Raw genomic sequence first — 17,215 nt, forward strand, 5'->3', positions numbered from 1 at the left:
CCTGGAACCCCATTTCAGCTCATCTACCTGTTGCTTTGTATTTATTCTTCAAAACTCTGCCGTCTTCCCTGACCTTCCGGAGCCGGTGTTTGTGGCGCCTCCTGCTGGTCACTGGGTTCAGGCAGTTTGGAGCTGGGTGGAAGGAACGGGTAGTATATTAAGTCTTGGGCCCTGGACCTTGTTGGCTGTCCTCTCCCTGCTGACCTAAATGACAAAGGGAGGGGTGTCCAGTCAGAGTGTGAGGGCTGTACCCGTGGGCAGCTGAGGGAGTGCGAGCCACAGGCCAGGCACTCTCCTTCTCCCATTAGCTCAGCCGTGGCATCGGACTTGCAGCTTCATTTTGGGCTGCCTTAGCCATGAAGCTCCTTTTGCTGACTTTGACTGTGCTGCTGCTCTTATCCCAGCTGACTCCAGGTAACCTGAACCTCCTTAAGGAAGGGGCAGGGCTTAGAGACTAAGGCCTGGTCAGAGAATCCCAAGGGCTAGAAGGATGGGCTGCAGGTTGTCATCTAGCACCACGTATAGGAGGCAGGAGGCGCCTCACCAGCAGCAGGTGCCAGCTGATAGATGACAACTACAACATCCAGAGCTGCTCTCTCAGCGGCTCCATCCCTCCTCTTCCTGCCCAGCTCCAGGGAGCATGTGGGGGTGGCCTAGTGTGTGAGGAGGAGTGGGAGGGGTGAGCAAGAGAAGCAGGAAAGAGGAGAGGCAGGTATGGCCCTTTTGCAAAATAGTCCCCAGAATGAACGAAGCTTTGTGAAGATCACAGCTACCTTAATGGGAGAGAAAGCTCATTTGTACTTAGCTGTCTCTGTGCCAGACTCTGCGCTGGAAGCTAGGACCACGGAGATAAATGACATGGTGCCAGGGGAACTAACTGGAGGAGACAGTTAAATAGCATTTATAACCCAGGGTGACACGGCTGTGGCAGTGGGAAACCAGGGGGCTGGGTACACATGGTCCAGCCCAGGCTGAGGGAAAGGAGAGTCCTCCTGGAGGGATATCCTGAGTCCTAAAAAGTGAGTCGAAAATAGAAAAGGAAGGAGAGGGGAAAGCAGAAGGGTGTCCCAGGCAGAGAGGTCAGCCTATGCAAAGGTTGGATGCGGGAGAGAGCATGGGAGTGTCGGGGACCTGCATAACATGGAGGGGTGGGTTAGGAGAGAGGCGGGGGTAAAGCTGAGGAAGCATTCAAGCTCCAGGTCTCAGTGGGCCTCAAATGCCAGGTGAGGGACCCATGGGAAGGTTTAAACAGAGAAAGACCCTGGTCAGACCTACCACCCACCAATTCCAGCATGAGCCACCTATCCCTTCCTGCTCATCTGGCAGAAGTTTCCACCCACCCTAAGGCTGTCGGCTAACCTTTCTACAGAGTCAGAAACGTGTGAATTTCCTAAACAAGCTGACCTCCGTCCTTGTGTCTTCCTGAGGCCCTAAAACACCACTCACCTGGAGTAGGGAGGAAAGCCCAGACCCCGGGTTAAAACCTGCCCCATCATTTTCTGACTCTGTGAGCCCCAACAAGAAGCTCAGCTGCTCAGAGTATCAATTTCCTCATTTCTCAAACTGCAATAACATCAAGTGTGTAATAATATCAGGTTGAGGGAACAACATTGAACACACTGAAATTTTGGTCTGCAAAAGAAATATGGCTTCTCTATTTTCTCTAACTCACCAAACTTTCCCAGGAACTTCCATCCTGACTGTGGGAGTTAGTGGTGGGAGGAGCAGGACTACAGAGATAAATGACATGGCACCAGGGGAGCAAACTAGGGGAGACAGTTAAATAGCACTTACAACCCAGGGTGACAAGGCACATAGGGGCTGGGCCTGAACTCAGCAGTTCAATATTTGTCTTTTCTGTTTTAAAATGATTTCTAAGCTAATTCAATCTCTTTTGAATAAGTGTTGAGTCTTTCAGCATGTCTCTTTCTTCCATCACCCTTTCTCTTTCCTGGGATAGTATCTGGTTACAGGGAAAAGTAACTTGATATGTCATCAAATAATTAATTGCTTCATTCAGTAAATACAGTTGAATGGATTTCTTGTTCCAAGCACTGTGATGGGTGCTAGAGGTAGAACTGGGAACAAAACAAGATAAGCAAAATCTCTGTCCTCTTGGAGCTTACCTTCTACTGGAGGACCCAAAGAATTTGAAAAATAAATGAAACATATGGTATGTCAGATAATGAGTACAGTGAGCAGAATAGGCAGGAAAGGAAATAGTGAACACCAGGGGAAGGGGAAGGTCATTTGCTTTTTTTTTTTTTTTTTTTTTGGAGACAGGGTCTTGCTCTGTCACCCAGGCTGGAGTGCTGGAGTGTAGAGGCACGATCTTAGCTCACTGCAACCTCCACCTCCCGGATTCAAGCAGTTTTCATGCCTCAGCCTCCTAAGTAACTGGGATTACAGGCGCCTGCAACCACGCCTGGCAAATTTTTGTATTTTTAGTAGGATACGGTTTGGCCATGTTGCCCAGGCTGGTCTTGAATCCCTGACCTCAAGCAATCTGCTTGCCTCAGCCTCCCAAAGTGCTGGGATTACAGGCTTGAGCCACCATGCCCGGTCTTTGCCATTTTTAAGGGGTTGTTCATGGAATGTCTCACTGTGACCTGAGGGAACAACCGGTGTGAGCATGTGGCTATGGAGGGAAGGAAATTCAAGCTGGGGAAAACAGCAAGTGCAAGGGTCCTGGGATAGGAACATAAGGAGGTGGGGTCAGGTCCTGTGCTGGACCCTTACTGACTTCTGGGATCACGACCCTCGTTGGATGTGGTTAGTAGCGTCCTGCTAGCACTTACTACTGGATTTCATGACTGATGAAATCTCTCAGCCCTTTTGGGGTCCCCACTGACTCGACCCTTCATCTCAGCCAGATCTTCCATCTGGTCCCCAAGTTAAGGCTGTTCACACCCTCCCTTACTGCCTTCTGCACTAGGGGTGTACTCTTGGCAGGTCCCTCACTGGTTTTCCTATCTCAGCCAGAGACAAGGGAACCTGGGGACCTTCTGGGTCTATTTTATTCAACAGAGAGCTGACAGTGATGCTCAGCCACTTCCCTTAGCCATTTCTAATCCCCCTTCAGGTAGCACCATGCAGTGCTATATCCATGCTAAAGATAAGAATTTCTCTGAAGAGCTACCAGTTTCCCTGAGCTATGCTCTAAGAGGCAGAGAGTAAGTGTCTTCTGCGTTGGCAATTTCTTTCGACCAATCTGGGTATTCATAGCAAGAGACTCTCTTGCCCCTACCTTTCTCACATTAATTATCTCTACTTCCTGAGTGTTCAGGTCAACCAGTAGACTGCTAGCAGGAGACACACGAAAGGCCTTTGTCCCTAGCTTGTTGGTGGGTCCACCATCAGGCTGGCAGAATGAGGCATGGGTTCTAGCAGGGCTCTCAGGCCCACTGCTGCTGCTGCGGGAGCTGGATTTAAACTTCCAGCTTCCCCAGAAATTATGGGCAGAGTATTTCCCCTCTACTTCCTGTTGGGTATGGTAGTGGTGACAGAGGTTAAATGGAAGCTACTTTAGCTGGACCCTCAGCCTTAGCCTCCTATAGCTTATGATGAAGTGGTATTGTCTGAACCCCCCAGGTTCATCTAATAATGTATAAAGGAGCTCTTTGAAATTTGGAAATCCCTGAACTTCCTTAACAAATGTTGGTCCTTAAAATGGTCTTTCCATGCACAACCCTTATCTCATTTAAGCTGAGCAATGAGTTTGCTGTTCTGTTGTTCACCATTCCCCCAAAACCCAGAAACTCTGCCCAATTCTGCTTTTTGACAACCAATGGATTTTATGATTAAAGGGGATTGAAATATGCATCACTTCAATATTTTCAAAATATTGTCATACTCACCGTTAGGTTAATTGTGGGAATTCAGGAGACATATGTAAAGCCCAGAAACCCAGCAGAGATGAGATTTAGGTGGGACACCTGCCCTTCCATTATACATCCTCACAGCACCCTGAGTTCGTTCTTTATAATTTTTATCATACTCTAGTTAATCAAATATCTGGGTATCTATTTTTTAATGGCTCTTTCTCCCCTCATTAGACTGGAAGTTCTCTGAGGGTAGGTGTCTCACTCATTTATAGTTTTATCTCCAGTGTATAGGCCTCTCAGTCTATACATGTGAGTATTTCCCTGGTGTAGACATCTGGAAAGGAATTGCTAGGTAAAGACTGTGTATAGTTTTAAAATGTGTAAGTTATTGCTCAGTAGGCTCCACAGATGCTAAAAAAGTGTATGAGTGTCATTCCTTTCACTCACCAATAGTTCCTCTTGACACTCTTAAATTAAAAATTGAGATTTTGTTGTTAAATGGTGGCTTTTTCCTTATCTTTTTGTAAACTAAAACACAGAATCACAGATGCTGCACACCACATAATACAAGTGTGCAGCTTAATGGAGGTTATAAGTGCACATCTTTGTAACCACCACTCAGGTCAATGGACAGAGCATTGACAGTCACTCCGAAAACGTCTCCACCTATTCCATCCATCACAATTGTCTTCATCCCCCAAATTAAGCACTCTCCTGACTTTTATAGCAATCAGTTCTTTGCATTCCTTTACAGTCTCATTGCTAGGGGGGCATCCCTAGACACCCTATTTATACTGTTAAAATCTGATATCTCTTTAGATTCCTTGAATTTTTTAATTTACTGGTTCCATCTTCATCCCTTTCTTATCTTTACAAGTTATCTGTTGAAAAAACATAAGTCATTTGATCTATAACTTTCCACAATATAAATTTTGCTGATTGCATACTCAAGGTAAAATTCAATGTGTTCCTCTGACCTCTGCATTTCCTGCAAATCAGCACCTGTATCCAGAGGTTTGATCAGGCTCAAGTTCTCCCATTTTGGCAGAACTTTCAGTGGTGATATGTTCTTTCATTAGGAGGCACATAATATCTGGTTGTCTGTCTTTTAGGACAATAGGAATCAATGATGCTCAAAGCCTAGATCCATTAATTTTTTGGCCATTTCAAAATGATAATATTCTGTTAAGTGATATTCTTTATTTAGCTGGAACAGTCATATGAAAAAGATACTCCTCATTGTCTACTATTTGATTTCTTAGCAGTACAGTGCATATAGGAAAGACAGAATACAGGCTTGATGATTTTTCTTTATTTATGAATCTGGAAGATAATGATCTATTGTCCTATCTCCCCAAATTGTGATCAAATAATTTTTTTGTTCTTTAGTTTGGATGGAGTCTAACTCTGTCGCCCAGTCTGGAGTGCAGTGGCGTGATCTTGACTCACTGCAACCTCCACCTCCCAGGTTCAAACAATTCTCCTGCCTCAGCCTCCCAAGTAGCTGGGATTACAGGTGCACGCCACCACGCCTGCCTAATTTTTGTAATTTTAGTAAAGACGGGGGTTTCACCATATTGGTCAGGCTGGTCTTAAACTCCTGACCTCAGGTGATCCACCCACCTCGGCCTCCCAAAGTGCTGGGATTACAGGCATGGGCCACCGCACCCGGCCGACGAAATAATTTTTGTATCATTAAAAATGCATGGATTTAACTATATTTAATGAATTTGCATTCATTACGATCTTTATGCTTAAGGAAACTGAAATTGTCCCATCCGTGGCTAGGTGGAGCTTCTTTAATATGACCCTTGAGCCTTATTTTACATATCCCTGGTAACCTTTGATAGCTTACTTGTGATCAAGTCCATCTTATAAAGACCACAAGGACACACTAGCAGTCTGACGGTCAGATCTATTAACTTACCACAGCAAAGGAAACTGCACACCAAAGGACCTGTGGGTGGTTGGGGGCGCAGGAGGAGTCACCAAACGAAGAAACAAATAGGGTACTGTAGGATGACAGAAAAGGGCAGATTCCAGTATAATGTAAATGAAGCAGGGTCTGATAGACTTCAAAGCAAGGCAGGGCCACAGGGCAAAGTGTAAAGGAATTAACATCAGGCCTAGGCTGAGAAACGGATTCAGGATCCTGTTTCCATGGAAAGTACAAAATGAGGAGAGTTGTGGAATTTTGTTTTCCAAAACCCCTTATCTGACACCAGCACCTGGCTTTGAAATGAAGGCTGCTTTTCTGTACTGAAAGGCTCAGTTCCTGGGGGAAGAATATAACGTTTCCTTCTTGCCGATATGATTTCAAATACAAAGTTTCCGAGAGTTGTGATTAGAGAAAAGAGGGTTTCTCAGCACTTTGTTCTTTTGTTAATTAACAAACGCAGTTTCACAGGCTCACACTGGCTATCTGGAGTGACGAGATATTCTAGGCCGGTCTTGTGCAGTTCCTGCACCAGGTCTTGAATTCGTTCTAAGTTTTACAGCAGACAGCTTCACCCCAGTCTCACCTCAAATAAAAACATGCCAATTCGCACATTGTGTAAGAACCTTAAAACAGTATACTGTACTTCCATTTCACCTCTCCCAGCCTTTGTGCTATTGTCATACATTTCTCTTCTGTGTATGCTATGAACTCCGCAGTACAATGCTGTTATTTTACTTTAAACAATTATCTTTTAAAGAAATGTCTCGGGAGGCAGAGTCTGCAGTGAGCCGAGATCACGCCACTGTGCTCCAGCCTGGGCGACAGAGTGAGACTCCATCTCAAAAAAAAAAAAAACAAAAACAAAAACAAAAATAGGCCCGGCGCGGTGGCTCACACCTGTAATCCCAGCACTTTGGGAGGCCGAGGCGGGTGGATCACCTGAGGTCAGGAGTTTGAGACCAGCCTGACCAACATGGAGAAACCCCGTCTCTACTAAAAATACAGAATTAGCCAGGCGTGGTGGCGCATGCCTGTAATTCCAGCTACTCGGGAGGCTGAGACAGGAGAATCGCTTGAACCCGGGCGGTGGAGGTTGCGGTGAGCTGAGATTGCGCCATTGCACTCCAGCCTGGGCAACAGAGCAAGACTCCATCTCAAAAAAATAATAATAATAAAAATAAAAATAAATAAATGTTTAATTGAGAACAAAAGTTGTTTACATTTACCCATAGTTATCAGTTCTGATTCTCTTTACTCCTTTATGTAGACATCCAGATTTCCCTCTGGTACCATTTTCTTCTGCCTGAATAACTTCCTTTAGCATTTCTTGTAGTGAAAGCTTTCAGTGATCAATGTTCTCCGTTTTCAAATACATGAAAAAGTCTATTTCTCCACTTTTAGAATATTTTTCCTCTGTAAAGAATTCTGGGCTTTTTTCCTTTTATTACTTTAAAGATCTCTCTCTACCATCTTCTAGTGTGCAGTTTCTGACAATAAGTCTTCTGTGTTGGTTTTTTTTTTTCCTTTCTTTGAGACGGTTTCACTCTGTCACTTAGGGTAGAGTGCAGTGGCGTGACCACAGCTCACTGCAGCCTCGACCTCCCAGGCTCAAGTGATCCTCCCACCTCAGCCTCCCTAGTAGCTGGGACTACAGGTGCACACCAACACACCCGGCTTTTTTTTTTTTTTTTTTTTTTTTGAGACGGAGTCCCGCTCTGTCGCCCAGGCTGGAGTGCAGTGGCGCTATCTCGGCTCACTGCAAGCTCTGCCTCCCGGGTTCACGCCATTGTCCTGCCTCAGCCTACCAAGTAGCTGGGATTACAGGCGCCTGCCACCATGCCCAGCTAATTTTTTGTGTTTTTAGTAGAGACGGGGTTTCACTGTGTTAGCCAGGATGGTCTCGATCTCCTGACCTCATGATCCGCCCACCTTGGCCTCCCAAAGTGCTGGGATTACAGGCGTGAGCCACCACGTCTGGCCTAATTTTTTTATTTTTTTGGAGAGACAGGGTCTCACCTAGGCTGGTCTCAAACTCTTGGGCTCAAGCAATCCTCCCATCTCAGCCTCCCAAAGTGCTGGGATTTCAAGTGTGAGCCACCACACCCAGCCTCTTCCAGTATTTTTACCTTTTCTCCTATGTACATAACGTGTCTTTTCTTCTGGCTTTTTAAAGATTTTTTTCCTTTCACTTGATTTTGCAATTTGATTATTATGTGCCTTTGCATGCTTCTCTTTTGGTTTTATTCAGCTTGTAGTTCACCGAGGGTCATGGTTCTATGGGCTTAGAGTTTTCATCAAACTTGAAATTTTTCAGCCATTATTACTTCAAATACTTTTCCTGCCCCTCCCCTCTCCTCTCCTTTTAGTATTCCAATTATATGCATGTTAGACTACTTGTTATTGTCCCATGGGTCACTGACACTCTGCTCTTTTTTCCCCCCATCTTTTTCTCTCCATGTTTCACTTTGGATGATTTCTGTTGCTATGTCTTCAAGTTCATTTATCTTTTCTTCTTCAGTCTAACCTACTATTAATCTCACTTAGTATGTTTTTCATTTAATATTTAATGTTTCATCTCAACTATTCCATGTGAATATATACATATATATATTTTTTTTTCTTTGAGACAGAGTTTCGCTCTTGTTGCCTAGGCTGAAGTGCGATGGCACGATCTCAGCTCACTGCAACCTCCACCTCCCAGGTTCAAGCGATTCTCCTGCCTCAGTCTCCTGAGTAGCTGGGATTACAGGCATGTGCCACCACGCCCAGCTAATTTTTTTTTTTTTTTTTTTTTGTATTTTTAGTAGAGATGGGGTTTCTCCACGTTGGTCAGGCTGGTCTCGAACTCCTGACCTCAGGTGATCCACCCACCTTGGCCTCCCAAAGTGCTGGGATCATAGGCTTGACCCATCGTGCCCGGCCATGAATATTTTTTACATCTTTATTTCTTCTCATCATGCTCATGGCTTCCTCCACCTTTTTTACTACTTGGAGCATATTTATCATAGCTGTTTTATCATCCTTGTCTGCTAGTTTCATCATCATTGTCATTTCTGTGTTGGTTGATTTGTTTTTCTCCTGGTTATGGGTCATATTTTCCTGCTTTTTTTTTTTGTATGCCTGAAAAATATTTTTACACTTTCAGTTTCTGTATTTTGTTACACTCCTTTAAAGAGTTAGATATTTTTCTTGCATGCAGCTAAGTTAGTGGGAATCAGATGAATATTTTCAAGACTGACGTTTAAGCTTTGTTAGGATGGGTACAGGGTATTCTTTAGTCTAGGGTTAATTTAGCCCCCACTACTAAGGCAATAGCCTTCCGAGTACTAAATGCTGCAGATTTTACAGGGTCTTTCCACTCAGGCAGGTGGAAACACAAGCTATTCCCAGACCTGTGCAATCACTGGGAATTGTTCTGCTTACTTCTTTTTGGTGTTTGGTATTTTTCTCCCCCTCAGGCCTTTGGTAGTTTCCTCTTGCACATGCACAGAAAGGCACTTAAAGACTACAGGGTGGGCCAGGCATAGTGGCACATGTCTGTTGTCCTAGCTCCTCGGGGAAACTCAGGTGGGAGAGTCCCTTGAACTGGGAGGAGGAGGTTTGCAGTGAGCCAGAATCATTCCACTGTACTCCAGCCTAGGTGACAGAGCAAGACTCATCTCAAAAAAAAAAAAAAAAAAAAAAAAAGACAATCCGCACACATAAAGGCTTTATTCAGCTGATGTACCAAGGTCACTCTCTCAGTCAAAGGTGGGAAGCAAAAAAACAGAGTAAAGGAAAAACAGTGATAGATGAAAAGAGTCAAAGGCAAGGGAAACAAGGGACCTTCTATCTCATCTGTTTCCATTCTTTTACAGACCTTTCAAATCCGGAGCCTACTTGTTAGGACTGATACTGTCTCCCTTCTTTCTGCTTTGTGTCAGGTGGCACCCAAAGATGCTGGAATCTTTATGGCAAATGCCGTTACAGATGCTCCAAGAAGGAAAGAGTCTATGTTTACTGCATAAATAATAAAATGTGCTGCGTGAAGCCCAAGTACCAGCCAAAAGAAAGGTGGTGGCCATTTTAACTGCTTTGAAGCCTGAAGCCATGAAAATGCAGATGAAGCTCCCAGTGGATTCCCACACTCTATCAATAAACACCTCTGGCTGATCCCTGCGTTTGCCTGTTAGTGAACCCCAGCAGCTCCCAGGAGTGCCTTTCGGGTGGTTTGGGATGTCACAACTGTTTTCACAATAATAATAAGACATTTTTTAATTTTTTTTTTTTTTTGAGATGGAGTCTTGCTCTGTCGCCCAGGCTGGAGTGCAGTGGCGCACTCTCAGCTCACTGCAAGCTCCGCCTCCCGGGTTCATGCCCTTCTCCTGCCTCAGCCTCCCAAGTAGCTGGGACTACAGGTGCCCGCCACCACACCCAGCTAATATATATATATATATATATATATATATATATATATATATATATATTTTTTTTTTTTTTTTTTTTTTTTTTTTTTTTTTAGTAGAGACGGGGTTTCACTGTGTTAGCCAGGATGGTCTTGATCTCTTGACCTTGTGATCTGCCTGCCTCGGCCTCCCAACATTTTTCACTTTTTTAAGCTCTCTCGTTCACAAGTGTATAGGGGAATTTTCTGGAATCTCCATGACATATAATGACATAATTGTTCTGGCAGCTGACGAAAGATGTGCTTATGTGCTCTTGTGTAGAATTTTTTAAGGTAGAAGGCTCAAGGTATAAGTATGCTCATTTTCAGAGATTCATGCAATTTGTTCTCAGTAATTCTACTGTCCTCTTACAAACTATCTTTGGTTATATTATTAACTGTAATAATCAATCTCTGTACCTTCATTATCATATAATAAGTCATTACTTTGAAATCCCACAACTTACTTTGTACCACAAGAAATAAGAACACTTTATCGTCTTGGTTTGCAGAGGTATTTTGTTCTAATTTTTTATTTTTTATAGAGATAGGGTCTCACTTTGTTACCCAGCCTGGTTTTGAACTCCTGGCCCGCCTCAGCTTTCCAAAGTGCTAGGAATACAGGAATGAGCCACCACTCCCACGGGGACTTGCAGAGGTATATTAACAACAGTCCTAGCTGTCTAACAGAATAAAGGACACGCTCTCCCTTAAGGAAAAAATAACACCTATTCTAGTCTCTATAGTTCTCTTAAATACAATTTCTGACATATATACAATTTTAAAATTATAAGACATGCACAGAAGCAGGAAAATATGACCCATAATCAAGAATAAAAATAATCAATTAGAATCAGACCCAAAGATGGTGATACAGTTTGGATCTGTGTCCCCACCCAAATCTCATGTTGAATTGTAATCCCCAGTGTTGGAGGTGGGGCCTGGTGGGAGGTGATTGGATTATGGAGGTAGATCCTTCATGAATGGTTTAGCACCATCCCTTTGGTACTGTTCTTGTAATAGAGTTCTCACAAGATCTGGTTGTTTAAAAGTATGTGGCACTGTCTCGCTCTTCACTTCCCTCTGCTCTGACCATGTAAGACAGGCCTGCTTCTCCTTCACCTTCTGCCATGCTCAAAAGTTTCCTGAGGCCTCCTCAGAAGCCTTCATGCTCCTTGTACAGCCTGCAGAACCATGAGCCAATTAAACCTCTTTTTTTTTTTTTGAGATGAAGTCTTGCTCCTGTTGCCCAGGCTGGAGTGCAGTGGCATGATCTCGGCTCACTGCAACCTCCACCTCCCGGGTTCAAGTGATTCTCCTTCCTCAGCCTCCTGTGTAGTTGGGATTACAGGCGTGCACCACCAAGCCTGGCTAATTTTCATATTTTTAGTACAGACAGGGCTTCATCATGTTGGCCAGGCTGGTCTTGAACTCCTGACCTCAGGTGATCCACCCTCCTCGACCTCCCAAAGTGCTAGGATTACAGGCGTGAGCCACTATGCCTGGCCTAAACCTCTTTCCTTTATAAATTACCTGGTCTCAGGGTTTTTTTTTTTTTTTGATAGCAGTATGAGAACAAACTAATACAGATGGAGTAGTTGTTGGAATTAACAGATAACCTTAAAATAACTATTATAAATATGTTAAAGAAATTAGAAGATTGATAAAATGAATGAAAAGATGAAGAATTTAAATACACAGAAAAATAGTGTATAGTGTATTGTTTTCCACCTGCTGCATTACAAAACCACTCCAGAACTTAGTAGACTAAAATAACAACTATTTGTTATTTTTCACAATTCTGCTCATTGATTAAGTGGTTCTTCTGATATTCTCACGAGGTCATTCATGTTACTACATCTCTCTTCACGTAGCCTCTCCACCGCAAAGAAGTTAACCTTGGCTTCCTCTATGATGGCTGGGGCCAAGAGCCTCCCAAAGTGCTAGGAATACAGGAATGAGCCGCCATTCCTGGTCTTGCAGAGGTATATTAACAACAGTCCTAACTGCCTAACAGAAGAAAGGACATGCTCTCCCTTAGGGAAAAAATAACACTTATTTTAGTCTTATAGTTCTCTTAAATACAATTTCTGACATATATGGGTAAACCTCAACATCCAGCATTTCTCAAATTTCTGTTTGTATTACATTTGCTGAAGTCCCACTGGTAAATCATATGCCAGTCACTGTGAAAGAGGACTACATAAGGGCATGAATACTAAGAGGATGATTCATTGCATGATGGAAACTCTAAGAATAAATTGGGCCTTCTAAACTGAGACATGCTAAAATTAAGAATTTATTGGATGGTAAGCCAGGCGTGGTGGCACATGCCTGTAGTCGCAACTACTTGGTAGGCTGAGGCAGGAGGATCACTTACACCCAGGAGTTTAAGTCTGTAGTATGCTATGATCATGCCTGTGAATAGCCACATGTGCACTCCAGCCTGAGCAAAATAGCGAGACCCCACCTCTTAAAAAAAGGAATCTATTGGATGGGTTTAACAGCAGAAGATAGGGCATTGTGGAAGAATGAATCAGTCAACTCAGAGACAGATTAGAAGATATACAAACCAAAGCACAGAGAGAAAAAATGCAAAACGAGCATAACAGAGTATGAGAGACTTATGGGACAATATCAAATAATCTAACATATATATAATTAAGTCCCAGAAGAAGAGATGGGAGACCAGGCACAGTGGCTCACACATGTAATCTCAGCACTTTGGGAGGCTGAGGCAGGAGGATCACATGAATCCAAGAGTTCAAGACCAGCCTGGACATTATAATGAGACCCCCTCCCTATTTTTTTTTTCTTTTCGAGATGGGGTCTCACCATGTTGGTTGTGAGCTCCTGGGCTCAAGCAATTTGGCCTGCCTCAGCCTCCTAAAATGCTGGGATTACAGGAATGAGCCACCATGCCCAAACCCCACCTATCTCTATTAAAAAAAGAAATTAAAGAGGGCAATGAGGAAGAAGAAATATTTTTAAAAGATAATAGTTGAAAAATTTCCAAAATTGTTGAAAGACATCAATCCACAAGAAATTCAGTGAACTCCAAAGCAGCATAGACACAAAGAAAATCAAACCTGCCAGGCATGGTGGCTCAAGCCTGTAATTCCAGCACTATGGGAGGCCGAGGCGGGCAGATCACCTGAGGTTAGGAGTTCGACACCAGCCTGGCCAACATGGTGAAACCTCATCTCTACTAATAATACAACAATTAGCTGGGCATGGTGGCACGCGCCTGTAAGCCCAGCTACTAAGGAGGCTGCGGCAGGAGAATCGCTTGAACCTGGGAGGCTGGAGGTTGCTGAGGTGAGATCCTGCCACTGCACTCCAGCCTGGGCAGCGAATGAAACTCTGTCTCAAAAAAAAAAAAAAAAAAGAAGGAAAGGAAAGAAATCAAACCCTAAACATATCACAGTCAAACTGCTAACAATTAAAAGAAAAAGTGCCTCTGGAGGCTGAGGCAGGAAAAAGGCGTGAACCCGAGAGGCGGAGCTTGCAGTGAGCAGAGATCGCTCCGCTGCACTCCAGCCTGGGCGACAGAGCGAGACTCCGTCTCAAAAAAAAAAAGAAAAAGTGCTTCTCAGTACCTATGAATATTTCATACAAAACATGTTCAAGAATTTATGGAAAAAGTTAGAAAACCTTATTGAAATACAATATAAAAAGCCTAAATTAATAGAGAAACATATTATGCTTATGAATTAGAAGTCTCAATATCTTAAAGACGTCAATTCTATACTAATTATTTCCTAGATTCTATAAAATTCCAGTAAGATTTGTTCATAACTTGTTCAAAATTGTGTATATGTAAACAAATATTTTGTTAGGGACATAAACATGTATAATAAAACTTTCAATAAAAGCTAAGGAGATAATAAATACAAATTTAGGATAACAGTTACCTCTAAGAATATAGCAATAGGAAGGGGTAATGGTGATTTTTTTATCGCACAGTAGACAGTGAGGTGTTCTGGATGTGAGGTCCAAATTTGTCTTTGTGATAGCTGGTGTTATTGAGCCACCTGGAGGCAATATTGCTGCAGTTTAAATATTTAGGATCCTGGATGGGGATGTGGGAGGGAAGGGCTGGATGAACCTTCCAGAATGTCAGCAGTGATTCCTGGAGTCTTCCAGTTAATGGCACCCAATAACTAAATGGGCAAAAGATGCATGGGAGATTGGCCTGTGAGAACACTGAGGACTTGGGGATGGATCTGCTATCTCCACGTGCAAAAGGATTTGTTAATCTGGGAGTTCCTCTGAGATCTAGCCCTTGTCCATCTCTTTGGTTGCCTTTTTTTTTTTTTTTTTTTTTTGAGACAGAGTCTCACTCTGTCGCCCACGCTGGAGTGCAGTGGCGCGATCTCGGCTGACTGCAAGCTCTGCCTCCCGGGTTCATGTCATTCTCCTGCCTCAGCCTCTTGAGTAGCTGGGACTACAGGCGCCCACCGCCACCATGCCCGGCTAATTTTTTTTTTTTTTTTTTTTTTTTTTTTTTTGGTATATTTAGTGCAGACTGGGTTTCACTGTGTTAGCCAGGATGGTCTCGATCTCCTGACCTTGTGATCCACCCGCCTCAGCCTCCCAAAGTGCTGGGATTACAGGCATGAGTCACCACACCCGGCCTCTTTGGTTTCATCACATACCACTCAGTTACTCCATCTCTTTCCTTTAATTTCTGTTTTCCTTTAGCTTTTTTCCCCCTAAAAAAAAATCATAGTTTATTTTTCACATCCTGGGTTTTTTATTTATTTAATAGCTTTATTGAGGTATAATTTTTTTTGAGATGGGATTTGCTCTGTTGCCCAGACTAGGGTGCAGTGTTGCAATCATAACTCACTGCAGCCTCAGCCTCCTGGGCTCGAGCGATCCTCCCACCTCAGCTTCCCAAGTACCTGGGACTACAGGCGTGCACCACCACACCCAGCTAACTTTTTTGTATTTTTCGTCGAGACAAGGTTCCTCCATGTTTGCATAGGCTAATCTTGAATTCCTGGCTTCAAATGATCCTCCTGCCTCAATCTCCCAAAGTGTTGGGATCACAGGCATGAGCCACCCCATGCAGTCTTTCAAGGTATAATTAACATTCAGTAAACTGCACATATTTAAAGTGTAAAAGTTTCTAAGTTTTGTCATGTGTGCACCCATGAAATTATCACCAAAATCAAGATAATAAACATATCTGTCCCCCTCAAAAGTTTTCTTCTGCTTCTTCGTAATCCTTTCTTTTTTTTTTTTTTTTTTTTTTTTTTTTTTTTTTTGAGATCTTGTTGCCCAGGCTGGAGTGCAATGGCACGATCTCAGCTCACCGCAACCTCCACCTTCCGGGTTCAAGCGACTCTCCTGCCTCAGCCTCCGAATAGGTGGGATTACAGGCATGCGCCATCATGCCTGGCTAATTTTTTTTGTATTGTTAGTGGAGATGGGGTTTCACCATGTTGGCCAGGCTGGTCTTTAACTCCTGACCTCAGGTGATCCACCCGTCTCAGCCTCCCAAATTGCTGGGATTACAGACATGAGCAACCTGCCTGGCCTGGATCCCATTAATTCTTGAACCTCATCTCCAACTATTCTTGCCCTGGCTCACTCCACTTAAACTATGCTGGCCTCCTAGCCATTTCTCAAACACACCAAGCATGGTTCCACCTCAGGGCGTTTGCACTTGCTATTCATTCTGCCTGGAACTCTCATCCTCCAATATGCAAGACTCACTCTCTAACATTCTTTGGGTTTGTTCAAATATCTCCATGTCACTGAAAACTTCTCTGAATATGCTATTTTTAATCTTTAAAAAAAAAAAAAAAAGCTACTCTTGGCCAGGCACGGTGGCTTACGCCTGTAATCCCAGCACTTTGGGAGGCCGAAAGCGGGCGGATCACAAGGTCAGGAGCTCGAGACCATCCTGGCGAACATGGTGAAACCCCGTCTCTACTAAAAATACAAAAAATTAGCCGGGCATGGTGGCGGGTGCCTGTGGTCCCAGCTACTCGGGAGGCTGAGGCAGGAGAATGGCATGAACCCGGGAGGCGGAGCTTGCAGTGAGCCGAGATCGCGCCACTGCAGTCCAGCCTGGGCGACAGAGCTACACTCCATCTCAAAAAAAAAAAAAAAAAAAAAAAGCTACTCTCCCTTACTTCCTTTTTTGCTTGCATTTCTCCATAGTATTTATCAGCATCTAATATAATATTTTTTTCTTGATTGTATTTCTTGTCTCCCTGTCCGCTGTGGATTTATTTAATGTTGGATGTATTGATATATATATGAATAAACATTATTCAATGTATATGAATAAGTATATATTATATTGCCTCCCCAGATAAATATATATGTATATGTGTGAATATATATTTTTATATATATCTGAGGAGGCAATATATATTTCAACGTATATTTATCCAATATACATAAATGAATTTGGGATCCAGTTTCCCAAATAAATTTGGGGTTCCTCATGTAAAATTCCCTCCATTGAAATACCTAGTATGGCTTTTGTTTTCTAGCTAGATCATGACTGATACAGTACATGGAACATGATTTATTCATATATATTGAGTAAATATATATTGCCTTCCCAGATGAATGTATATATATGAATATGTATGTATTCATTTATTCAACTACAAATTTACTGAGCACCTATGTACCAGTTTAGTGCTTGGAGAGGGGGGTACCTTATGATTGGAGCTGGTGCCTCTGAAGGACATCGCAGTTCTGGCAATGAACCCATAGCCACCTAAGCTGCTGGGAGGATACAGATGGAATCCAAAGCAGAGAGTGAATGCCTTCTCCCTCCCCTCCCCTCCCCTCCCCTCCCACTTTCTAGCCTCCCACCATTGTCTGCAATTAGCAAACTCTTAGTAGGAAGCCACCTGGTGAAGGAGTCTGGGAAATGGTAATATCGGACTCCCAGCCCCAGCAGCACAGAGCAGAATATAGAAGGCTGGGCTTGAGGCCGCACTGGCACACCATTTAACTTCTGAGATGTAAGTATAAATCTGAAGTAACATCCCAAAAAAG

General features: G+C 43.4%; 1 protein-coding gene across 2 annotated transcripts; it reads left to right on the forward strand.

Moving 5' to 3' along the window:
- The first annotated feature begins 289 nt into the window (after positions 1-289).
- Positions 290-9,915, forward strand: DEFB123 (defensin beta 123). Of its 2 annotated transcripts, none has more exons than NR_126450.2 (2): positions 290-414; positions 9,621-9,915. NR_126450.2 is itself a non-coding variant. In NM_153324.4 (2 exons), the coding sequence occupies exons 1-2, from the start codon at positions 357-359 to the stop codon at positions 9,830-9,832; spliced, it is 204 nt and encodes a 67-aa protein (NP_697019.1). In that variant the 5' UTR covers positions 290-356; the 3' UTR covers positions 9,833-9,915. The 2 variants fall into 2 exon arrangements, 1 of the variants encoding a protein (NP_697019.1); NM_153324.4 differs by having other exon boundaries at positions 9,687-9,915.
- The last annotated feature ends 7,300 nt before the right edge of the window (positions 9,916-17,215 follow it).

The sequence above is a fragment of the Homo sapiens genome, chromosome 20 (assembly GCF_000001405.40).
Source record: "Homo sapiens chromosome 20, GRCh38.p14 Primary Assembly".
NCBI lineage: Eukaryota > Metazoa > Chordata > Mammalia > Primates > Hominidae > Homo > Homo sapiens.

Excerpts from the sequence above, each read along its gene's own strand:
- DEFB123 (NM_153324.4), top strand. The coding sequence starts at position 357 with ATGAAGCTCCTTTTGCTGACTTTGACTGTGCTGCTGCTCTTATCCCAG. Across the intron at positions 415-9,686 it reads CTTATCCCAGCTGACTCCAG|GTGGCACCCAAAGATGCTGG; the intron begins GTAACCTGAACC and ends GCTTTGTGTCAG.